This window comes from Homo sapiens, chromosome 2 (genome assembly GCF_000001405.40).
Source record: "Homo sapiens chromosome 2, GRCh38.p14 Primary Assembly".
Taxonomy (NCBI): domain Eukaryota; kingdom Metazoa; phylum Chordata; class Mammalia; order Primates; family Hominidae; genus Homo; species Homo sapiens.
The window spans coordinates 15,423,861-15,450,209 of record NC_000002.12 but is presented as its reverse complement, the minus strand read 5'-3'; the positions used below and the strand labels follow the sequence as shown (position 1 = coordinate 15,450,209).

The window sequence follows — 26,349 nt, the reverse complement described above, 5'->3', positions numbered from 1 at the left end:
ACAAAGATGAATCTCTTTTTATTTATGCTTTTATATAGCCTAGTCCTGTTATTTCTTTTTGTATTCCCTGAAATTTAAAAAGAAGTAATTTTCATTTGGTATTCTAGTTCTACCCTAATTTTGTTGTGATAATAAAATACCACCTTAACTGTAGGCTGGATGATGAAATATTTATGGAAAGATTAGGGCATTGCATTTACTTTTTGATTCTCCAGGGAAACATAAAAGTGTTTCTTTTCCCTTTAAGATTGAAAACTTGATTAGTTACCTAATCAAAATTCAATTCCCCTGTGTGCAGTTTATTTCTGAGCTGCTGTGAGGAAAAAACAATAAAATGGCTTTGTATTTCTGACTTGGAAAAAGTGTTTGGCCTTCTGAGGTGACTGTCCGCAGAGAGGAGTCCACAGAGTACTTAACAGAGTGGAATATGCTGGCAGTTCCTGAATCTAAGAATAACCTTGTGGTTGTATCAGCTAAGAAAGGCCTAACAGCCTCTATTGGCTGGGAACAGGGTTAGGATCTGGTGGTAGGGGTAATTGGTTTGCATGTCTTCTGGCACTGTGGGCACTTTAGATCTTGATAGAATGGGTTCTTATCTTCCTATTTAAAGAAAAAAAAGGGTTCAGGGCGAGTTCTCTGATTAAGAAGGTGTAAGTCAGTATTATTTCAGAGTAGTTTTTTTGGGCCTTGGAAGTATGTTGACATTGATATTTGTTATGTATCTGGTACTCTGGGGAGTCCTAAAGAAATGAAGATGTACTAGTTAATTAACCCATTTCCTCTTTTATTCAACAAACATCTCATGACTGACTATGGAACATTTGTTTTTAAGTTTACAAACCAGCTTTATGTTTCACATATAGTTCACATAGCATGTTCATGAGATAAGCAGAAAGGGATTATTTTGCTTTTAGGGCAAGATTGTGAGGCATCAGTGAAACAGGTCCAGAAATAGGGAATTATTTTAATAAATAATTTTAATTTTATTACTGTTTTAGTGTGAATGTAACTATTTTCCAGTATTTTTAATGTAACAATATAATCTTCAGTTTCCATTTTTATTTGAAATTAAGAAATCTTTGAGAGATCCTTTTTTTTAAACTAATGTGTTCTCTTAAAAAGAAGGATGCTATTACTAGACTCAGATACCAAATGATACCCTTTTCATGGAGTTCTCTTTCATATTCATTTTCTTGCAAACTCTAAAAACCTTGACCAATAATTTCAGAATGTGTGCTTCTTACATAGATCGTAACATCTTCTGAATGGTTGTATTGCCTGAGGTAAATAGTCCCTATAATTCTTTTTGGTCCTACATTTCATTAGTATGTAAAACTTGTCTGTAACAGCCATGTGTCTTTGTCACACTATATTTAGTTAACATATAAATAAACCCTTTTTCTAATTTCTGATATAGGCAAGCCTGTTTAAGCATTGCATTTATAAGAAGAAAAATTCTGCTAAGAATCAAAATAATATTTTGTCGACAAGACATGGATTATTTTAAGAAAAGTTTTGTCCTCAGTGTGTGCCTATTTCATTTAATCCTAAAAGTTTAGATGCCATGTAATAGGAACTGTGAAAAAAAATCCATGACATATATGAATGTTGGGATCACATGGCATATGGTGCTGACATACTTAATGTGGAGAGGTAGTAGTATAGTGTACTGGAAAGAGTGGTGCATTCCATCAGAAACAGGGACGTACGTCTTGTGTGAGTACATGCTAGCTGTGTTATTTTTGGAAAGTCATTTGGCTTCAGTTTCTTCAAGTGTGAAATGGGAGATTGTAGAGGTACTTATGATTAAGTAACGTAAGCGATACATCATCTAGCACAGTTGCTAGCATATAAGTGGTGTTCATTAGACAGTAATGGTGGTGATAATAGGGGATATGGTTATAGGAGTAGCAGCAGCAATTTTTTTCTGTAGATTTTGATAGGAATATACATTATATTATAGATGTCTTTTAATTTTAGGTACGCTAAAAGGGCTTGCAAAAGGCTGAAGATGAATTAACAAAATAGAAAATTATAACAGGAAATTGCTGTAGTTCGACTGATGATGCCCTCTCCAAAATTCATGTTGAAACTTTATTCTTAATGCAACAGTATTAAATGGTGTGGCCTTTGGGAGGCCAAGTTCCCATGATGGGATCAGCACCCTTATAAAGGCTTGAGAGAGAAAGGAGTGCTCTCTTGCCATTTTGTTCCTTTCACCATGTGAGGACACAGCCTTCGTCCCCTCTGAGGGTCACAGTGACATGGTACTATCTTGGAAATAGAGACTGGGCCCTCACCAGAAACCAAACCCTTGATTTTGGATTTCCTAGCTTCTGGAACTGTGAGACATAAATTTCTGTTATTTATAAATTACCCAGTCTCAGGTATTTTGTTCTAGCAGCATAAATGGAGTAAGACAGGAGTATTTCTTCTTGATAACACTTGTGCTTTGATTTATTATCTGAGACAGTGCCCCTTTCCTGGTGTGAGGTACCTGAGTTTCCAAATTACTAATAAAAAAATTGCTTAGTGAGCATTGCATCAAATGAAGTTGAGGTTTTAAATTTCACTTTTAATTGAATTATGGATACGGGAAAATGAACAAATCATCAATGTGCAACTTGATGAATTTTCACCAAGTGAACATGATTAAGAAACAGAATATTACCAGCATCCCTTGTGCTCTCTCCTTTTACCGTCTTCTAGCCACCTCACTCCAGAGAGCCACTATCTTGGTTTCTAACACAGCACATTAGCTTTTTCTCTTAATCAAGGGACCAAGAGAACTATTTTACCTAAACTCTGGGAAAACATAAAGAACTGTCTTTCCCTCTCAACAGAGATGAAATTCTCATATCCATCAAGTCAGATGCCTTTCTTGCTTTTCTAATGTTGGATGTACATTGACTTTTAAAAACAATTTAAAGTGTTATTTATGAACAACATATAATGGGATCTTTCTGTATTATCCAGTCTGGCAATGTGTAGCTTTTAATTGGCATGCTGGGACTTACTGTTTGTATTTAAGGCATGGTTCAATATGGTTCAGCGTAAAGCTGATGTTTTAAACTGGTATTTGTTTACTACTGTCCCATTGGTATTTTCATTTGTTCACATGTCCCGTGTGTTGGCATTTGGTATTCGTTTACTACTTGTCCCGTTTTTGGTATTTGTTTTGATATTTGTTTGCTACTTGTCTCAATTTTTCATTGTTTCCCTTTTTTTCTTTTTCTGTTTTCTTTTGATTTGAATATTTTTATAATTATATTCAATCTCCTTTATTGAATTGTTAGTTATACTTTCTTGTGATTTTTTTTTTTCTTTTTAGTGGTTGCTCTAGGGTTTATAGTAGACTTCTTTAACTTATAATAGTCTAACTTCAAATAGTTTACTAGTACTTCATGTATAATGTAAGAACTTAAAATAATGTTTTTCCATTTTCCTCCTTCTGGCTTTTGCACTATTGTTGCCATACATTTAACTTTTACAAGCATGTGTTATGAACTCCGTAATACATTTTTGTTATTTTTGCTCTTATCAGTAATTTTTTAAAATTGAAAATGTATTTTGTTTTTACACACATATTTACCATTTCCAGTCCTCTTCATTGCTTTGTGTAGATACAATTTATATCTAGTGTCAGTTTCCTTCAGCCTGAAACACTTTCTTTAGCATGCCTTGCAGTGCTGATGTTGAATTCTCTTTGCTTTTATGGATGGGGAGAAATCTTTGCTTAGTTTTGGAAGATATTTTATTGAGTATAGAATTCTAGGCTAACAGTTGTACTTGTTTAGTACCTCGTTGGAGCTACCCTGCTGTCTTCTGGCTTGTATTGCTTTAAGCAGAAGTCTGCTGTCATTCTTTATCTTTGTTTCTCTTTGCATGATGTGTCTTGTTTTCTTTGCATGCTTTTAAGATTTTATTTATAACTAGTTTTGAGCCATTTTATTATTATATGCCTTGGTGTGTTCTTCTTTGAGTTTATTCTTGTTGGTTATCAAGTTCCTTGGATCTATGGACTTCAGAGTTTCACCAAATTTAGGAAATTTATGGTCATTATTTCTTCAAATATTTTTTTCCCTTCCTTGTTTCTCCTTCCCAATACACACACTTTTTTTTTTCTGGGACTCCTATTATATGTATGTTGACCATGTGATCATATCTTACAGCCCATTTTAAAAAGTTTCTTTTTTATACTGATTTTATTTTGGATTGTTTCTATTACTGTGTCCTTAAATTTGCTATTCTTTTCTTCTGACTTGTCTATAATTGATGCCTTCAGTGTATTTTTTTTTTAATCTCCGAGACTATGTTTTTCATTCCTAGAAGTTTGATTTGGGTCTTTAATATTCTGTGCCTCTTGTTCTCATGTCATTGGTGTTTCTTGATCTGTTTCAAGAAATTGATTTTTGTTCTGGTTATAAGCCATAATTTCCTTCTTCTTTACATACCTGGTAACTTTTATTGGATAACAGACATTAAGAATTTTACATAATTTGGATGTAGATTTTTTTTTTTAGTTGAAAGTAAATTTAAAAATTTTTTTTTATTATTATACTTTAAGTTTTAGGGTACATGGACACAATGTGCGGGTTAGTTACATATGTATACATGTGCCATGCTGGTGTGCTGCACCCACCAACTCGTCATCTAGCATTAGGTATATCTCCCAATGCTATCCCTCCCCCCTCCCCCCACCCCACAACAGTCCCCAGAGTGTGATGTTCCCCTTCCTGTGTCCATGTGTTCTCATTGTTCAATTCCCACCTATGAGTGAGAATATGCGGTGTTTGGATTTTTGTTCTTGCGATAGTTTACTGAGAATGATGATTTCCAATTTCATCCATGTCCCTACAAAGGACATGAACTCATCATTTTTTATGGCTGCATAGTATTCCATGGTGTATATGTGCCACATTTTCTTAATCCAGTCTATCATTGTTGGACATTTGGGTTGGTTCCAAGTCTTTGCTATTGTGAATAGTGCCGCAATAAACATACATGTGCATGTGTCTTTATAGCAGCATGATTTCTAGTCCTTTGGGTATATACCCAGTAATGGGATGGCTGGGTCAAATGGTATTTCTAGTTCTAGATCCCTGAGGAATCACCACACTGACTTCCACAGTGGTTGAACTAGTTTACAGTCCCACCAACAGTGTAAAAGTGTTCCTATTTCTCCACCTCCTCTCCAGCACCTGTTGTTTCCTGACTTTTTAATGATTGCCACTCTAACTGGTGTGAGATGGTATCTCATTGTGGTTTTGATTTGCATTTCTCTGATGGCCAGTGATGGTGAGCATTTTTTCATGTGTTTTTTGGCTGCATAAATGTCTTCTTTTGAGAAGTGTCTGTTCATATCCTTTGCCCACTTTTTGACAGGATTGTTTGTTTTTTTCTTGTAAATTTGTTTGAGTTCATTGTAGATTCTGGATATTAGCCCTTTGTCAGATGAGTAGGTTGCGAAAATTTTCTCCCATTTTGTAGGTTGCCTGTTCACTCTGATGGTAGTTTCTTTTGCTGTGCAGAAGCTCTTTAGTTTAATTAGATCCTATTTGTCAATTTTGGCTTTTGTTGCCATTGCTTTTGGTGTTTTAGACATGAAATCCTTGCCCATGCCTATGTCCTGAATGGTAATGCCTAGGTTTTCTTCTAGGGGTTTTATGGTTTTAGGTCTAACGTTTAAGTCTTTAATCCATCTTGAATTGATTTTTGTATAAGGTGTAAGGAAGGGATCCAGTTTCAGCTTCCTACATATGGCTAGCCAGTTTTCCCAGCACCATTTATTAAATAGGGAATCCTTTCCCCATTGCTTGTTGTTCTCAGGCTTATCAAAGATCAGATAGTTGTAGATATGCGACGTTATTTCTGAGGGCTGTGTTCTGTTCCATTGATCTATATCTCTGTTTTGGTACCAATACCATGCTGTTTTGGTTACTGTAGCCTTGTAGTATAGTTTGAAGTCAGGTAGTATGATGCCTCCAGCTCTGTTCTTTTGGCTTAAGATTGACTTGGTGTTGCAGGCTCTTTTTTGGTTCCATATGAACTTTAAAGTAGTTTTTTCCAATTCTGTGAAGAAAGTCATTGGTAGCTTGATGGGGATGGCATTGAATCTATAAATTACCTTGGGCAGTATGGCCATTTTCACAATATTGATTCTTCCTACCCATGAGCATGGAATGTTCTTCCATTTGTTTGTATCCTCTTTTATTTCATTGAGCAGTGGTTTGTAGTTCTCCTTGAAGAGGTCCTTCACATCCCTTGTAAGTTGGATTCCTAGGTATTTTATTCTCTTTGAAGCAATTGTGAATGGGAGTTCTCTCATGCTTTGGCTCTCTGTTTGTCTGTTATTGGTGTATAAGAAGGCTTGTGATTTTTGTACATTGATTTTGTATCCTGAGACTTTGCTGAAGTTGCTTATCAGCTTAAGGAGATTTTGGGCTGAGACAGTGGGGTTTTCTAGATACACAATCATGTCGTCTGCAAACAGGGACAATTTGACTTCCTCTTTTCCTAATTGAATACCCTTTATTTCCTTCTCCTGCCTAATTGCCCTGGCCAGAACTTCCAACACTATGTTGAATAGGAGTGGTGAGAGAGGGCATCCCTGTCTTGTGCCAGTTTTCAGAGGGAATGCTTCCAGTTTTTGCCCATTCAGTATGATATTGGCTGTGGGTTTGTCATAGATAGCTCTTATTATTTTGAGATACGTCCCATCAATACCTAATTTATTGAGAGTTTTTAGCATGAAGGGTTGTTGAATTTTGTCAAAGGTCTTTTCTGCATCTGTTGAGACAATCATGTGGTTTTTGTCTTTGGTTCTGTTTATATGCTGGATTACATTTATTGATTTGCGTATATTGAACCAGCCTTGCATCCCAGGGATGAAGCCCACTTGATCATGGTGGATAAGCTTTTTGATGTGCTGCTGGATTCGGTTTGCCAGTATTTTATTGAGGATTTTTGCATCAGTGTTCATCAAGGATATTGGTCTAAAATTCTTTTTTTTGTTGTGTCTCTGCCCAGCTTTGCTATCAGGATGATGCTGGCCTCGTAAAATGAGTTAGGGAGGATTCCCTCTTTTTCTGTTAATTGGAATAGTTTCAGAAGGAATGGTACCAGTTCCTCCTTGTACCTCTGGTAGAATTCGGCTGTGAATCCATCTGGTCCTGGACTCTTTTTGGTTGGTAAGCTATTGATTATTGCCACAATTTCAGCTCCTGTTATTGGTCTATTCAGAGATTCGACTTCTTCCTGGTTTAGTGTTGGGAGAGTGTATGTGTCGAGGAATTTATCCATTTCTTCTAGATTTTCTAGTTTATTTGCATAGAGGTGTTTGTAGTATTCTCTGATGGTAGTTTGTATTTCTGTGGGATCGGTGGTGATATCCCCTTTATCATTTTTTATTGCGTCTATTTGATTCTTCTCTCTTTTTTTCTTTATTAGTCTTGCTAGTGGTCTATCAATTTTGTTGATCCTTTCAAAAAACTAGCTCCTGGATTCATTAATTTTTTGAAGGGTTTTTTGTGTCTCTATTTCCTTCAGTTCTGCTCTGATTTTAGTTATTTCTTGCCTTCTGCTAGCTTTTGAATGTGTTTGCTCTTGCTTTTCTAGTTCTTTTAATTGTGATGTTAAGGTGTCAATTTGGGATCTTTCCTGCTTTCTCTTGTGGGCATTTAGTGCTATAAATTTCCCACTACACACTGCTTTGAATGTGTCCCAGAGATTCTGGTATGTTGTGTCTTTGTTCTTGTTGGTTTCAAAGAACATCTTTATTTCTGCCTTCATTTTGTTATGTACCCAGTAGTCATTCAGGAGCAGGTTGTTCAGTTTCCATGTAGTTGAGCGGTTTTGAGTGAGTTTCTTAATCCTGAGTTCTAGTTTGATTGCACTGTGGTCTGAGAGATAGTTTGTTATAATTTCTGCTCTTTTACATTTGCTGAGGAATGCTTCCAACTATGTGGTCAATTTTGGAATAGGTGTGGTGTGGTGCTGAAAAAAATGTATATTCTGTTGATTTGGGGTGGAGAGTTCTGTAGATGTCTATTAGGTCCGCTTGGTGCAGAGCTGAGTTCAATTCCTGGGTATCCTTGTTAACTATCTGTCTCGTTGATCTGTCTAATGTTGACAGTGGGGTGTTAAAGTCTCCCATTATTAATGTGTGGGAGTCTAAGTCTCTTTGTAGGTCACTCAGGACTTGCTTTATGAATCTGGGTGCTCCTGTATTGGGTGCATATATATTTAGGATAGTTAGCTCTTCTTGTTGAATTGATCCCTTTACTATTATGTAATGGCCTTCTTTGTCTCTTTTGATCTTTGTTGGTTTAAAGTCTGTTTTATCAGAGACTAGCATTGCAACCCCTGCCTTTTTTTGTTTTCCATTTGCTTGGTAGATCTTCCTCCATCCTTTTATTTTGAGCCTATGTTTGTCTCTGCACATGAGATGGGTTTCCTGAATACAGCACACTGATGAGTCTTGACTCTTTATCCAATTTGCCAGTCTGTGTCTTTTAATTGGAGCATTTAGTCCATTTACATTTAAAGTTAATATTGTTATGTGTGAATTTGATCCTGTCATTATGATGTTAGCTGGTTATTTTGCTCGTTAGTTGATGCAGTTTCTTCCTAGTCTCGATGGTCTTTACATTTTGGCATGATTTTGCAGCAGCTGGTACCGGTTGTTCCTTTCCATGTTTAGTGCTTCCTTCAGGAGCTCTTTTAGGGCAGGCCTGGTGGTGACAAAATCTCTCAGCATTTGCTTGTCTGTAAAGTATTTTATTTCTCCTTCACTTATGAAGCTTAGTTTGGCTGGATATGAAATTCTGGTTTGAAAATTCTTTTCTTTAAGAATGTTGAATATTGGCCCCCACTCTCTTCTGGTTTGTAGAGTTTCTGCCGAGAGATCCGCTGTTAGTCTGATGGGCTTCCCTTTGTGGGTAACCCGACCTTTCTCTCTGGCTGCCCTTAACATTTTTTCCTTCATTTCAACTTTGGTGAATCTGACAATTATGTGTCTTGGAGTTGCTCTTCTCAATGAGTATCTTTGTGGCATTCTCTGTATTTCCTGAATCTGAATGTTGGCTTGCCTTGCTAGATTGGGGAAGTTCTCCTGGATAATATCCTGCAGAATGTTTTCCAACTTGGTTCCATTCTCCCCGTCACTTTCAGGTACACCAATCAGATGCAGATTTGGTCTTTTCACATAGTCCCATATTTCTTGGAGGCTTTGTTCGTTTCTTTTTATTCTTTTTTCTCTAAACTTCCCTTCTCGCTTCATTTCATTCATTTCATCTTCCATCGCTGATACCCTTTCTTCCAGTTGATCGCATCGGCTCCTGAGGCTTCTGCATTCTTCACGTAGTTCTCCAGCCTTGGCTTTCAGCTCCATCAGCTCCTTTAAGCACTTCTCTGTATTGGTTATTCTAGTTATACATTCGTCTAAATTTTTTTCAAAGTTTTCAAATTCTTTGCCTTTGGTTTGAATTTCCTCCTGTAGCTCGGAGTAGTTGGATCATCTGAAGCCTTCTCTCAACTCATCAAAGTCATTCTCCATCCAGCTTTGTCCCATTGCTGGTGAGGAACTGCGTTCCTTTGGAGGAGGAGAGTTGCTCTGCTTTTGAGAGTTTCCAGTTTTTCTGCTCTGTTTTTTCCCCATCTTTGTGGTTTTATCTACTTTTGGCCTTTGATGATGGTGATGTACAGATGGGTTTTTGGTGTGGATGTCCTTTCTGTTTGTTAGTTTTCCTTCTAACAGACAGGACCCTCAGCTGCAGGTCTGTTGGAGTTTGGTAGAGGTCCACTCCAGACCCTGTTTGCCTGGGTATCAGCAGCGGTGTCTGCAGAATAGCGGTTTTTCGTGAACCGCGAATGCTGCTGTCTGATCATTCCTCTGGAAGTTTTGTCTCAGCGGAGTACCGGGCCGTGTGAAGTGTCAGTCTGCCCCTACTGGGGGCTGTCTCCCAGTTAGGCTGCTCGGGGGTCAGGGGTCAGGGACCCACTTGAGGAGGCAGTCTGCCCGTTCTCAGATCTCCAGTTGGGTGCTGGGAGAACCACTGCTCTCTTCAAAGCTGTCAGACATGGACATTTAAGTCTGCAGAGATTACTGCTGTCTTTTAGTTTGTCTGTGCCCTGCCCCCAGAGATGGAGCCTACAGAGGCAGGCAGGCCTCCTTGAGCTGTGGTGGGCTCCGCCCAGTTCGAGCTTCCCGCCTGCTTTGTTTACCTAAGCAAGTCTGGGCAATGGCGGTTGCCCCTCCCCCAGCCTCACTGCCGCCTTGCGGTTTGATCTCAGACAACTGTGTTAGCAATCAGGGAGACTCCGTGGACGTAGGACCCTCCGAGCCAGGTGCAGGATATAATCTCCTGATGCACCATTTTTTAAGCCTGTTGGAAAAGCGCAGTATTCGTGTGGGAGTGACCCGATTTTCCAGGTGCTGTCTGTCACCCCTTTCTTTGACTAGGAAAGGGAACTCCCTGACCCCTTGCGCTTCCCGAGTGAGGCAATGCCTCGCCCTACTTCGGCTTGTGCACGGCGCGCTGCACCCACTGACCTGCGCCCACTGTCTGGCACTCCCTAGTGAGATGAACCTGGTACCTCAGATGGAAATGCAGAAATCATGCATCTTCTGCATCGCTCACGCTGGGAGCTGTAGACCAGAGCTGTTGCTGTTTGCAACCAGAGCTGTTCAGCCATCTTGGCTCCTCCCCTCAAGATTTTTTTTTTTTAATTTATCCCTGAAAGTATTCTGAAGCTTTTTTCTGGGGTGCAGTTAAATTACTCAAGAACTTTGATGATCTTGAGGTTTACCTTTTAGCTTTGTTAGTGGGAACAGGGCAGCCTTTTGTCTAAGGCTAATTTTGCTCACCTGCTGGGGTAATATTCTTTTTTTTTTTTTTTTTTTTATTTGAGACCGAGTCTTGCTCTTTGGCCCAGGTCGGAGTGCAGTGGCGATGTCTCAGCTCACTGCAAGCCCCACCTCCCGGTTCACGCCATTCTCCTGCCTCAGCCTCCCAAGTAGCTGGGACTGCAGGTGCCTGCCACTGCACCCGGCTAATTTTTTTTGTGTGTGTATTTTTAGTAGAGACGGGGTTTCACCGTGTTAGCCAGGATGGTCTCGATCTGCAGACCTCGTGGTCCGCCTGCCTCGGCCTCCCAAAGTGCTGGGATTACAGGCATGAGCCACCGTGCCCGGCCGGGTAATATTCTTTAATATATAATGAAATAAAATAATAAAACCTGTTACCCTACAGATTACTAGTTTTTCGTATTCTGGCTGACTGGAACTTGAACTATTCCTGGCCCTATGTGAGGTCCAGGGATGTTCTTTCTGCTCCTTTGGTTGGTTTCCCCATCCTTGTGTGATTTCATCACAGGTACACACTGAGCAGTGCTTAGTCAATGACTAGAGGGACCCCTCCCAGGATTTTTGGAGCTTTCTTTCTCAGTGCACGTTCTTCTCTGATCCATTGTCTGTAAATTCTAGCTACTCTGGCTCTCTGACTTTCAAACTCTGTCTCTGCAGCCCAGAAGGCCTGCCAGGCTCTGTTTAGAGTTCCCTTTTTATGCTGCAGCCTGTCACTTCTCTTCAGGCAGTGAGCGAGGGCGCTGCTGGGCTCACTTTGTTTTTTTCCCTTCCCTTAGTGTCGTTATCCTGCAGTGCCTGGTGTCCTGCTGTCTATTTTTGTTGTTGATCGTGGTGGTAGTTTTTTAGATTAATTCAAGAGATTCATTACTGTTCCTGTTACTCCATACTTCATTGTTGTTCAAAGCAGAAGTTCTCTTTTAGTGTTTTAAAGTAATTTTCCTGAGCTGATCTTTTATTAGTCTGTTTTGTGTAGGTTTGTTCATCTCATTAGTTGAGTTCTTATCCCTGTTGTCATGGAGCCTATTCTGTCTTTTCCCATAACATATGATTTATTTAATCAAAATACGAGCTCCACCAGCCACCTCATGGTGTGTACTATAAGGTTAATGTCTCTATGCAGTTGATTAAATGGATTTCAGAATTAGGAACAGGTGAAAGGCTTTCCTTAATCTGGAAATTACAGAAAGTGATCGAGAAATGTAGTTGAAATACAGTATATTTTAACACATGGACTTTTCATTACTGCGAACAACAAATAAGCAAAGCTGCAATGTATTGAGCCAGAGATGTTCTTTTTCCAAATTGCCATCCCAGAGGTTGACTGTCAGCCGCAGGTGTTTGGGAGAGTTGGTGCTATGTGTTATCTCTCAAGGGCATTTATGGACAATTTTTTAAAGAAACAGTCACATATATCCCACTTCATTCTTGGACCCTTGGTTCTCATTCTGCCTCTCAGGGTCATTTTCTCTTTGAATACCAGTGGCACTTTGTGTCTCAATTGTTAACTTATTATAGCATCTATTTTCTGGTCTATTTTTGTGTTTCTTGAGGGCAGGAGCAATACCTTTGTATTTATTTTTAAAAATTTTAGTTGTTCAATAAAGGTTTGTGGAATGAATGAATGTTATGTAGTTAAAAATCTATATTGACAGTCATAAGAACTGTTTTCTTCAAATTCTTTAGTGTTTTGTTTCCCTTCTCTACCTAACTCTAGTTTAATCTTGAACCTCATCAACACTAAAGTGTGTTAGACTTATTCGCCCTGCAGATAGCTACACCATTGTCTTCCTAGTCACATTCTGTCGAACTGACATCAGAACACTCCCTCTTCATTTCCAGGGTCTTCATTTCCTCAGCTGTGATTTTATGCCTGTCTGCAGTGTAATTTTGCCTAGACTCAAAGAACTCATGATTGTAAAAGGCTCACATAGACTTGTGCAGCAGTATCTCAGGGCAAACAACCTCTGTGCTTCTTTGTTTATTAATAGCTTAGGACTTTCCACCTCTCTCTCTCTCTTTCTCTTTCAAGAGATGGAGACTCTCTGTCACCCAGGATGGTCTCAAACTCCTGGGCACGAGTGATCCTTCTGCTCAGCCTCCCCAGTAGCTGGAACTCCAGGTATCCTCCATCATGCCCAGCTAAATTCCACATCTCTTTGTACTCATAAGTGCTCATACACAGGCGAAGAGTCACCTGTCCCATAGAACATTGCATTGTTGTTGATGGCATGGGTGGAAAATAGGGAGTTGTGTAGACCATTTTGGGAATTTAGAATTATGAACATTTGAAAAAAAATCTGCTGTACATGTTCCGAATCTTTTGCCACAGGAAAGCATTGCGTATACCCTTATGATTTGGGGATAGTTTTTGTTTTTTCATTTATTTATACATAATCATCCATTCTTCCTTCAGTCTGTCCATCCTCCTGTCTATCTATCCATCTATTAAATATGTAGTAAGTTTTAAATAAATGCCAGGTATTCCACTAACGAATCAAAAACGATGAAAGCTTTGAAGGAGCTCATAGTCTAGTGAAGGAGCAAGACACATAAATAAATAATTATAATTCAGTGCAATGACAGCAGTAATGGAAATACATGAGAGGTTTAATAACATGGAAGAAAGTCTGATAAGCTTGGTCTGGGAACATCAGAAGGTTTCAATTTTTTTCCTCTAATGAACACCGCATTGACTGACACAGTTAAAGACAACATTATAAATATGCATGCTGTGAATCGTGCTACCTTTCTATCCATTTAGATGAGGTTAACGTGCCATATTTATGATTTTTAGTTTTTCTTTTTGAATATTTTATATCAACATTTTTTTCTTCCTACTGCCTTTGTATAACTTGGTTTCCAAAGTATAATTTTTTCTGTCATTGGAGGGTTTTTCACAAGCTTGAGAAGCACAGTGATTCATTTCAGGAAGCTTGCTAATTAGTTACTTGATTGAATCATTTCTGTGAGCTACTACTGTGAGTTAGGTGCTGGGAGTATAAAGTACCCTCCTCTGAAATATATGTATACAAATAATTACAGTAGCAGTGAGATAAATGCAGAAAGGGTTATCTACAGGCAAATAGTCTTAGCTATGTAGTCTTCCTCTTACGTTGACTTTTATAGTTTTTATTCAATGTGCAATAAGTTTTCACAGCTTGATTTGATCTTGTCTTTCTAGTTCTTAAGAGTTTTTTCCTTTGAGAGCTCTGATTTTAGAATTAAGAGAGTATCAATGGTCTGTTCCTACTGATCATTCATTCATTAGTGACTATTTTTGAGCTCATGTGGATTGTTTATCTGGAAATTTATAATTGTGATATATACCTTTTAGGGTGTTTGATTCACGATTAAATGAAATAATGCATTTATATAAAGTTAGTTAAAATTATTGCTTATATGTTATTATTATGCATATAAGAGCACTGGGAGTTGTGATGGACACAAAGGGGTATTTATCAGAGAATATTTACTTTTAGTGGGGAGACAATCTAGGAAATTAACAATAGATAAGAACTTCAGGGAATTTGAGAAGTATACCACTTATATACTATCGAAAGATTAAATGCCACATGGTTGTCCAGATAAGTAGTGAGGATTTAGAACAAAAAGAAACCAATCTGGACTGGAATGGCTACAGTAACATCTTTGGGAAGCTGGAATTTGAGCTGGAAAAGGCGGGATTCAAATAAGTAAAATGCCATAGTGGCTGAGAGCGTAGACTCTGGAACCGGACTGCCTGGGTTCAAATTCCAGCTGCAACTTAGCTATTTGACCCTGGACAAGTTGCTTACTGTTTCTGTGCCTGTGTCTCCTCTCCTGTAAAATGAGAAAGATAATATTGTCTATCTCTCAGGGCTGCCGAATTTACATATGTAATTGCTTACAACTTTATATTTGTGCTTGCAGATAGTTAAGTACTATATAAGTATTATACATAGGCTGGGCAGAGTTGAATGGTTATATAAATAGTGTGTGAAATGTCCATTCAGCACAGTTTAGAGGCAAGAACATACGGGGATTCTTAAGGGTGGCTATGAAGAAATCAGTGTTCCTTTGGCTTGGGGTCTGCATAGGCATAATCTGTGCTTTTTTGGTAAGATGAATGAAAACGAGATTTAAAAGTATTCTTTCCTCTCTAATCCTTTTATTCAAAATCCATTAGCACTACATACTCACATAGGTGGGTTATTTTTTATAATGAACACTGATACAATTCATGAATATTTTGGTACATTTCAGTAGTTTTGTAATTGATAAATTTAAATGTCATATATTTTTATCTTTGTTCTGGAAGTGATTTTTCTGGTGTCATTAATAGTCTAAAGGCTATTTGTCAGGGTCTGCTTGTCTTCATGTAATGTGAAATAAGGGTCTCTCTGTTTTTCTCTCCACTGGTTCTGTGTCAGTCTAAGTTACAGAATAGGGAGTGGAATTTATTAGATTGCTCTCATATTTCTTCCCATTTGGCAGTTGTAGATATGTACTTTTGGGTCTCCCCTGTATAAGGATTATTCTCATCAATCCTTGGTTGACTCAGATCTCAGATCTTTCCGTGTTACCACATTTAATATATATTCCCCCTCACTGAATGGAATACTGGCAACCTCGAACCTATAGGTTAGTTGATTACTATAAATGAAAGTTGTAGTTAATCAATTTTAAGTTGAGTCCCTATTTTTCATCTGTAATACTACAAATATGAACATCATATCAAAAATAAATGAACAATAAAACCTATGTATTTATAAACATTTTACGTATATAACACCAAATTCAGAATGTAAAACTTATTACCTAAGTGTTTTATTTGGGAGACTTTTTGATGTGGGTCATTTTAGCTTATTCTTGATAAAGTACAAGGCCATTGAAATTATACTTGAGGATTCCTTTCTTTCCTGGTGACTTTCTTTGTAATGAGCATAGGCATCCTTCATTGTTCTGAGGACCTTCAGTGTCTCTTATTCAAAATTAGGGTAATCTGCCCAAGAGGCAAGTGGTACTGGTGGAGGTCAGTTTTCATACCAGTGACTTCTCATGTCATCTGTTTTGTTGTCTCTCTTGTCATCTGTTTTCTCTAGTCATCTGTTTTGTTTATCTCTCTTGTTTTGTTTATCTCTCTTGTTTTGTTGACATTAATCATCTTGTATAGAGCAGCCTTTCTGAGTTATATAACTGACTTTTTTGGGAAGTTATTTAATTAATTTAATTTATTTTTTTGAGACAGTCTCTCTCTGTCATCCAGGCTGGAATGCAGTTACAGTCACAGCTCACTGCAGCCTTCATCTCCTGGGCTCAAGTGACCCTCCCACCTCAGCCTCCTAAGTAGCTGGGACTACAGGCCTGTGACAGCTTCCCCTGAATCCTTGCTAGTCTTTTCTTTTTTTTTTTCCTTTTTCTTTTTCTTGAAGAGATGAGGTCTTGCTCTGTTGCCGGGGCTGGTCTCAAACTCCTGGGCTCAAGTAATCATCCCTTCTCTGTGCCTCCCAAAATGCTGGGATTATAGGTGTGAGCCACCAGGCCTGGCCCTGGGAAATTCTTTAATACTTCTCATTGAAGTTTGTGACTTTCTCTTGTACTTTAATGATTTAACAAACTAGTTCTCCTTTATAATAATCAAATTGTCCTTTGCTCATGGGTAAAAACTAATTTTAAAACTTGGTTTGAAGCGTTTGGGACAGAGACAATGCCTTTTGGAAATGGTTGCTTTTTTCTACTTCATAAATCAACTCATCACATTTTCATATTACTGTTAATTGCCATTTTACTCAGGATGGTATAAGTGGAGGTTATCGCAGTTGTTAGGTATTTGGAAATGTAATCATTGATATAATTATTAATATGATGCTATTGTTTATCATAAAGTAGATCTTGAAATGTCAACCAGAGTCATATATATCTTGTATTCACTACTTGTGAAAAACCTTCTTGCTGGTATTAATGTTTTTATAACATTCACTGTATGCCAGGTACTGTTGTAAGGGCCTTTATGTACTAACTAATCTGATTTTCTCCTAATCCAAATGAGCTAAATATTGTTATTATCCCTCTTTCACTAGTGAGGAAAGTGAGGCACAGGCAGTTTGAGTAACTCCATCAAGGTTCTACAGCTATGAAAGGTAGACTCACAATTCTAACCCAGAGGTTAGACTTCTCTAAGAGCATAATCTTAAGTATTATGGATTAGAATTCAAGACAATCTTTACTTTAGTCTCATTTTCATTTGAGCAGGCAGTATTGCGGCATTTACTAAATAGATGAGGCAGCTGGGTCCCAGAGATTAAACTCGTGGTGGGAGGAGGTGAATCCAAATCCTAGAGTGCTGTTGTTTTCACTCTTGTCTCTCTTTTACACATTGCTAGCCTCTGAGAATACTGGTAAGTTTCAAAATATCTTCTTAGTTTCTGCTCTGTTTTCTAAGTTATTTATAAATGAAATTGAATCCCATTGGTCCAGAAGAGAGCTCTGAATAATGCCTTCGGACAGCTTTTTTTTCGACTTGGTGTTATGAGTGATAACTAGCTTTTTAATTGGTTTCCCACTGAGTTTCAGATCAATTTGACTTGTTCAGTGATGTCAACCACAGTGTAGTTATACATGTAGGCCCCAAGTATTATTATTTTTATTCTTTACTTGCCAGAACGTTTTATTCTCTGCTAAATAATAGAAATAAATATAACTCCACATTTTAAAGCCAATGCTTAAAAGGTGGCAATTACGAGTAATACACTGTCTATTTAACCTTTTGTTTCCGAGGCATAGAACATGAATAAAAGAACTTTTTGAAAGTTTATTCTTCATGAAATTTCTTTGAAATAAAACATTTATATTTAGTTTGAGAAATAATTGGTGGGAGAATTGTTGGATATAATAGAACTTGTTATATTAATTCCTTTCCTGCTGGCAGATAAATGTTACCATCAAATGAAAGCCAGCGTAGTTTATTGTTTGAAATAAAACAATGAATAGGGTTCTAATATAAAGAATCCTAAAATTAAGTAAAAGCAGCCATTATTTTGTAAAGAGATAATTTGAGTTTACCATATAATCCTTTTTTTTTTTTTTAAGTGGAGATGATGTATTTAAATCTTAAGACTTCCCAAGCAGGGGAAAAATAGACAAATAAGATGAAATAAAGTATATGTAAATGCAGTTTCATGTTTATAGAACTTGAGATTCAAGGTGTAAGTTTTACACCTACCCAAAGTTTCTATAGTTCTGTAGAAGGAACAGTATGATTTCTAGGTTTTTTTCAAGCTACAATTTTGCCTAACCCATTTAGTAATTGACTTAATGTCTAATATTTTAATTGTGAATCGAATCCATGAAAAGGGTTTTCTCTGAATTTTATTAAACATTTTATCATTCTGCTTACCTAACGAAAGAATAAGTAGCTAAAATTTGGGCAGTTTTTAAAAGGTAAGAACAGAACCAATCAATTAATTTGTAATGTAAAGAATGATGACATTTAGGGTAACATGTATTCTTGTCTTTTTTTTATTAACTGAGATATAATGGGATATCCAACTATCCAGTTAGTAGATGTATACCATTACTACTAGTGTAGCTTGCTCTTCCATCAGTTTAATAATATGTATTAGGAAAACATTGTTGTTCTCACTCTCAGACCGTAGATTCTGTATAAGCATACCTCCTTGACATATCCATTTTTTTCATGAACAAACTATCCCTTTCCATTGCTATATTCCAATCTTAAATTTTTGTGATATCCATGAGATCATTTTAAAATTTTTTTGTTGTGTTGTCAATTAATTCAACCTACATATAGTTTTTTGAGTCTGCTAAATGCCAGATACTATTTTGGGTGCTGAGGATATAGCACTAGACAAAATAAACAAGAATCCTGACTTTAAAGAGTTTTTATGTTGGCTGGAGAGAAGATCCTGTTTATTTCTCAAATGTTATCATTTGAAGCAAAATAAAGAACTTACGGTGATTTTATTAGCACTTCAAATGCCTAAAGTTTGGTTTAAAATACATTGTTTTGTAGAAACATCCTGGAAGAAAAAGAGCAACAAGAAGGGTTTTTTTGTTTTTACATGAACATGAGTGATCAAACCTAAGATTAAACCATATTCCATAGATATTAGTTTTATTAGACTAGTAATGTAGTAGTTATATATCTTAGTTTAAATGTATCTTTTGATATGCATGTAAATGGTCCTTTTTGGGTTGTCTGTATTAAATCTTGAGAAGGCTCAAATTGCCCTCTACCGGCTGGGCACAGTGGCGCACGCCTGTAATCCCAGCACTTTGGGAGGCCGAGGTGGGTGGATTACCTGGGATCAGGAGTTTGAGACCAGCCTGATTGATATGGTGAAACTGTCTCTCTAAAAAAAAAAAAAATTAGCCGGGCCTACTGTGGCGGGCACCTGTAGTCCCAGCTACTCAGGAGGCTGAGACAGGAGAATTGCTTGCACTTGAGAGACGGAGGTTGCAGTGAGCTGAGATTGTGCCACTGCACTCCAGACTGGGCGACCGAGCGAGACTCCATCTCAAAAAAGAAAAAAAAAGTTGCCCTCTACCTGCTGTGTACAAATCTGACTGGTGGCTCCTGATGCATGGAGGGGGAATGGTGGAAAAATGGTTGGGGACTAGACTATAGTCCCTATGTCCTTTCTACAGGCAGTTTAGTATGCTAGCTAAAAGTGTAAGCTTTGGATTCTGACTGGTTGTGTTCAAATCCTGGCTTTGTCAATTTATTAGCTTTGTTAGGATGGACAAGTTAATTTATGCTTTAGTTTTCTCATTGTAATATGAGGAAGATAATATCTACTACATTAGATTGATAGGACTAAATTGAGACATTTTATGTTAACAGCATTGTATTGGGCCTAGTCCATAGTAGGAGATCAGTCAGTGCTAAAGATTATTGTTGTCACTGATCATTGCTGATACAGCAGCAGTAGTAGTAGTAATAGTAATGCTATTATTATCATCATCATTGTCATCATCATCATATCAGTGTGATCAGCAAATTTAGAAACAGACTGGTTGTGCTGTACCTTGAAAATGCAGCAAATGTGAAAATCTGTTTTGATTAAAAAATATGTATATTATATATCTGTTTTCTTATTTCTGTTCAGTGAAGATACCATTTTACAACTTACTAGTCTCTACATACCAAATAAGTATTATTTTGCTGAGGGTTCCTAATAACTCTTGCATCTAATATATACTTTGAATAGGAAATACAAATCTCAACTTGTGATACATTTTTCTAAAATTCTTTTAGAAAACATTTTATGTAGCTTAAGGAGCCATGTCTGTTTTAATTAGAAAGGTCATAATAGCTTGCTAGGTTTATTTATTTTCTCCTCATTCCTCAATTCATTGCTGTAATTTATTCTTATGTCGGAAGAGTAATCATCATCATCCTTGTATCCAGATGTTATCTTTTTTACTTTTCAGTGATCTGTGATAAAATATTAGTTATTGACATGGAAGAAAATAAAATAGTTTTTTATTTGGTGACAAATGAAATAGTATGGTTGTAGCATCCATTCTAAATCATCATTTGTATGATTCAGAAATTTAAAATTATGGACTCACACACCTTCAAAAACCTATCTCTGGTACATAGTTTGCTAGGATATTACATGCTAACTGGAAATCTGTGTTTTAGATACACGATATAATAAACTTCTTATTTTGTAATCTAGAGGGGAACCTTGACTTTGGATAATTTGCCCCAATAATAATAACTGCAAGGGTGATGCTGTTGATTGATCAGTCGTCACTGCCCCTTCCCAGACCTCATTAGCTTCCCTCTTCTGCTTTAAAACCCTCCAGTGGTTTCTTATTACTTTTTACATGAAGACCAATCTCTTCACCAACATAATTTTCAAACGTTTATGAAGTGTTTCTTGTGCAAAGTGTGTTGTATAACCTAATAATATAAGAAAGTACAATCCTTTTTCTGGGGCTATGATAAATTTTAGGAAAATGCTACTATTGATACTCAGAAATATTAGAGAAAATGTTTTATTGAGCTATAAAGCAAGGCAATTGAAGTTTGTTTTAACAATTTTTGTCTTTATTCTTAATTCAGAATGATTTAGTTGTTTTCATGGATTCATGGATGTTAAAGCTAAAAGGGACTTAAGAGAGAATGTTTGAAGCCCTTCATTTTAGAGAGTCACATGCCAGAGAGTGCCTAGCTCATGAAGAGACAGATTTGTTTCTGTTTCTCAGGTGTCCTGATTTGTGGAACATTGCTCTGCTCTATTACCATACTGTGTTTACCTTGCTTTTCCGTTTAAATTTATTCTTTTTTTTTTTTTTGAGACAGAGTATCAGTCTGTCACCCAGGCTGAAGTACAGTGGCACGATCTGAGCTCACTGTGAGCTCTGCCTCCTGGGTTCACACCATTCTCCTGCCTCAGCCTCCTGAGTAGCTGGGAGGCAGCCACCTCCACACCTGGCTAATTTTTCATATTTTTAGTAGAAACGGGGTTTCACTGTGTTAGCTAGGATGGTCTCGATCTGCTGACCTCGTGATCTGCCCACCTCAGCCTCCCAAAGTGCTGGGATTACAGGCGTGAGCCACCGCGCCTGGCCTTAATTTATTCTTATGTTATATTCAGTCAGGCCTTATCTTTGCCTCCTGTAGATTTTCTTTCTTGATCATGGCTTACTGCAGTCTCAACCTTTTAGTAGGGCTCAAGCGATCCTCCTACATCAGCTTTCTGAGTGGTTGGGACACTGGGATGACAGGCATGCCACCACCACACCTGGATAATTTTTAAATTTTTTGTAGAAATGAGGTCCCACTATGTTGCCTAGGCTAGCCTTGAACTCCTTGGCTCAAGCAGTCCTCCCTCCTTGGCTTCCTAAAGTGTTGGAATTACAGGTGTGAGCCACAATACCAGGCCTAGATTTTCTTTCTGTTGTTTTTCAGTGATACTTTTCAACCTGCAGAATCATTCCTTTACTCTTACTATCACCTGTCCTCTAGGTCTGTGCTATCTAATATGGTAGCCACTGGCCACATGTGGCTATTTAAATTTAACTTAATTAAAATTAAATTAAAAATCACTTTCCTCATGTCAGTAACCATATTTTAAGTGCTTATAACCAGTGAGCATTTACATAGCTGGTGGTTACTGTATTGGATAGCAAAGATGCAAAACATTTCTGTGATCACAGGAAGTTCTGTTGAAAGCACTACTCTGCCCCAACAGCTTACAATCCAGAAGACCATTTATGTTGGTTTTAACAACATGCACTGCAGGCTCTTGATAAGTGTTTTAGAATTTGTGAATGAAAACTTATCCATACCTTCCTTTAATTACTTGCCAAATTTTTTATTTGTAATTTTTCTTTTTGAGCCATTTTATGATTCAGCAATATGGTATTTCCCATTTATATAGTATGTATATAATATGTATCCTGTACCACTTAAAATACTATAAGCATGAATCTTAGATATTAATGTTATAGAGATGCTGTTTGCATTTTACTCCTTGTGTGGCTAAGTCATTGAGGTAATGTGAATTTTAAACACTTATTTTTTTTTAAATTTGAGTTTTAACGGTGACTCCCTGATGATCATTCCTTGGCATGAACATAAACACCGAGCTAAAGATTGGTGCGAGGAGTTGGCTTGCAGGTCAGTATGAGCCTGCAGGAGGCATCTTTGTTTCTTTGTGGGATGGGTGAACTGATGGCCCTGTGAAAGTGGTGTCTGACCAATGAAACCTTACTTGATGACACTCCCTAATTTAGAAAGTTTGAGTGAAGTTTTAAACTCCTTTGACTCAGTTATGTTAAAATTTTTTAATGGAAAAATTAAATACTACAAAGGAATTATGTTAAAAAATGGTGCTTATTACAACAACTGTTTTCATTTTGTGTTATTCCCTTTCAGTCTTTCACATATAGTGATATTAATTTTTTTATAGTTGTAATTATGGTATGTATGCAATTTTGTTCTTGATCAGTTTTAATTTTTTTTCTTGTCAGATTTAACTTTGGGAAGCCTCAGAATGTGTAGGCATCCAGTACTGCAGAAGGGGGGTGGGAGAGTCGGTGTGGGGCTGAAAATTCATGTGAGGAATATTGGAATGCCTTTATGCCCTACTCCTCAAAGTCGGGTAAATACTCCTTCACTGTCTCTTCTTCCTTTTTGTTTTTCTTTTTTCATGTGAGACAAGAGGTTTGTGCTTTTTTTGACTCATGCATTGAGGCAAAGGGCCTCTAAATTGAGCTAGAAAACCTTCAGATTACTGGATATTAATCTGAATCTGCATAGGAGGAGTTGAGTAATTGGTTTGAAAATCTGGGCATTTAGAAAATGTATGACCTGAATGTCCAAACTCTGCTTTCCTTCCCACTCCCTGCTCCCAGATGCAGGCATATTCCCCAAGTAGAAGTTTAGAGAGTTCTTTTCTGGAGAAATGAGTAACCTCTGAAAAGAGGTTTCTAGATACTGAGATATGGCCCTCAAAAGTTAGTGCACCACAAGGTCATAATGAAGCCAACAAACGAACAGGTTCTGCCACCCCTGCAGAGCTTCCTGGACATCCGAGGTTAGACTCCAGCAGGAAGAACAAATGAACAAGAAGGGCAAAACATACGGAAAACGGAACTGAAAGAAAGTGATACCACATACACAACGAAAACTTTAAAAATTATCATTAATATTACCTGGAGATAAGAGAAGATACTGTATTTGTGAAATATCAATAGCATTGTATAAAATAGAAACAGAATTAAGAGAAATTTAGGACATTAAAAATGTGATAGTTGGTACATAAAAATTAGAAGAGTTGGAAGATAAAAGCAAGAAACTTTCCTAGAAAATAGGTTAAAAATACATAGCTAGAAAGTAAGAGACCAGTTATTTAAAAAACAAGTGTAATATTCAAGTTATAGATGAAAGAGATGCCATGGGTAATAGAGGGGAGGAAATTATAAGAAATAATTCAAGCCTATTGCTTTGAATGGAAGATTATGCATCCTCAGAAATGCCTATTACATTACAGCATACCACCATGACCTTCCAGAATATTAGGGATACAGTCTTGTGAAGAGAAAGGCATGTTATGTAAAAGGAGTTGGGAATCAGAATGACCTCAGGCCCCTTAGGAAAAACACTAGAAACTAGAAAACAATGGAGCAATCCTTTGAAACTTTTGGAGGATAATATTTTTTGCTATAGATTTCTGTATCAGCTAAAATCACTAGTCAGATATGAAGTTAAACACCTAAAGGTTTATAAAATGTACTGTTGCTGTTGTAATGTCTATGGTAATTGATAGTGTAGAGTTGAAGAGGAGACTGGGGAGAGTGGAAAGCAAGAAGAGAGCTGGGCTAACAAGCCTGTGTCCTTTCTGGTATTCATGCTTGGGGAGAGGAGGGAGGATGCTGTAGCAAAGGTGACTGAGAAGGGGCAGCCAGAGGGAGGAATGCTTCACGGCATGACAGCAGACTGACGAGGGGCAAAGGGCATTTCCAGAAGGAGGAGCGGTCAGTTCTATCAAAGGGTGCTGAGGAGGAAATAAATATGCAGAACTGAAGGAGGTATCAGAGGAACTCAGCGTTACTGTTGGCCCCTTTTTCTTGCAAAAATAGAGCAGATGTAAGAGATGCCAGGAGGAGTGAGTGATGTGCTTCGTGTGGGCAGAGCTGGGGGGAAATCCCTGGAAGAATGTTAACAACACTGTGAGACTAGTAAGTGAAGGACCATTCCATATATAGGGAAGTTTTATTGTAGTGGCAGGTATAAGCAAAGTAGGTTGTCAAAGGCATTTGGGTAAAATGCCCCAATGTTTACAGGCTGTGTTTCTGCTAATAATTTTAACAAAAATAACAGTAAATAAAATTAAGCACTTCCTTTGTGCCAGGCAGTGCTCTGTTATTTTGAATTTTCACAACATTCTTGTATAGTGTTTTCCCCGTTTAAATAAAAGGAATAAATAGGAATAAAGGAGATCTTAGACTAGTTTTAGTTAAGGAATTTGCAGGTTTCACAGCTTTCAGTGATGGAATTGTATGTCTGATTCTATTCTGACTCCAAAGCTCATTGCCTTACAACAAGAACCATTGTAGCACCAGTCATGTACTGCCAGCTTGCTTTAGATGAATGACTATCCCTAATGGAACATAGCATTTTTACATATGCCCATCTGATACTTGTTACTTTGTATTTTTTTTTTGTCCTTAAACATGGAAGGCAATTGGCCATGATCATTCTCGTTAAAAACTCCTCATGATCAGCAATCCCCACGAGGTTAGCCCTGTGTGTGTTCCTCCAAATGTGGTTTCTTTTTTTTTTCACAGTTGATAGGGAATGGTATAGAGTAGTCCTGTGCTGTGCAAATGTCAGTACAGTACTAAATTGCTGGCACCTAGTAGAGGTATATTATCAACATAAATAAGGTGTATTTCCTCTTATTTTTATGAACATCGAAAACAAGATTTCTTAATTCAAATTCAAGTTGGAATCACTGGGGATATTTTCCTAAACTAGGCCTGGCTGGCCAGCACAGGAGATTTTGATTGAGTGGGCCTGCGGTAAGCACCCAGCTGTGTATATTTTGTAAAAGCTTCCCTCGGTGATTTTTGATTTTGTTAGTACTTATTTGATTGATTTGTGGCATAGCCGTTTTGATGTATTATGCCTTCTGATTTTTTAAATCGGGAAAACGGGGGGAAAATAAATTACGCATCCAAAAAAGTCTCATTTATCTTGTAAGGGTGCGTGTGCATGTGATAGATACACAAACCACATACATGTATGCTCCCTGTCTCTTACTTTCTCCCCATCTCTGTCCCTGTCTTTCTCTCACAAAATTATATGTTTTTCCAACATTCTAGTCAGTTATTAATTGGTCCTTTTGTGCTTCACAGAATGGTTGTTGAGCCGAATCTCCAAGATGAAAGTGAATTCTTGTATGCTGCACAGCCTGAGTTACTAAGGTTCAGGATGACCCAGCTTACGGTGGAGAAGGTTATGGACTGGTATCAGACCAGAGCAGAGGAAATAGAGCATTATGCTCGGCAGGTGAGGGGAAATGGCAGCTGCTGCTCAGTAATGTTAGTGGAACTGCCTTGGATCCTTAGGATTCAGTACACGGAGTCGGGGCTGACAGCAGTGCAGGAATCATGTATATAATTGCAAGAGATGAATTGAATATTTATTTCTTTGTTATCCTGTGCATTAGAACGTTTTGTGGCTTTTGTTTTGGATTCTTACAGAGCAGGTGCATAAAAGTAACGTTAAAACCTAAGTTGCAAAATGTGGTACATACTGTCCCTTGTTTTCTATATATTTTTCGTAGGCTTAACACCATATAATTTAAAAGATCGTGTCTACATACAAATTCTTGGTTAAGCCACTGTTTTATTGCAGTAATGCAGTTGATTGTAACTTTGCCTTTCAGGAACCCTGTTTGAAGTTGTTTCTAATGTTTTCCTGAAGTTCATGCCTAATTTCTCTCAGTTCTTAGACACTTTTA

The 26,349-nt window shown here is 37.5% G+C and overlaps 1 protein-coding gene across 11 annotated transcripts in view, besides 1 other annotated feature; it reads left to right on the top strand.

Annotated features, from left to right (window-relative positions):
- Window positions 1–26,349, top strand: part of NBAS (NBAS subunit of NRZ tethering complex) — a 782,426-nt gene that overhangs the window by 111,125 nt on the left and 644,952 nt on the right. For all 11 annotated transcript variants that reach the window (XR_007076390.1, NR_052013.3, XM_017004317.2 and 8 more), the window contains 2 exons: window positions 22,416–22,499; window positions 25,742–25,895. Coding sequence is in view for 9 of the 11 variants with exons in the window: in XM_017004317.2 (XP_016859806.1) it covers window positions 22,416–22,499; window positions 25,742–25,895 (238 nt within the window). In the remaining 2 variants the exon portion in view is untranslated. The remainder of the gene's footprint in view (window positions 1–22,415; window positions 22,500–25,741; window positions 25,896–26,349) is intronic.
- Window positions 503–1,004: an enhancer, noted in NCBI's record as "NANOG hESC enhancer chr2:15589330-15589831 (GRCh37/hg19 assembly coordinates)". NCBI's record gives its function as "activates a minimal SCP1, AML or CMV promoter by ChIP-STARR-seq in primed H9 embryonic stem cells {active_cell/tissue: H9 hESC(primed)}" and the evidence as "EXISTENCE:reporter gene assay evidence [ECO:0000049][PMID:30033119]".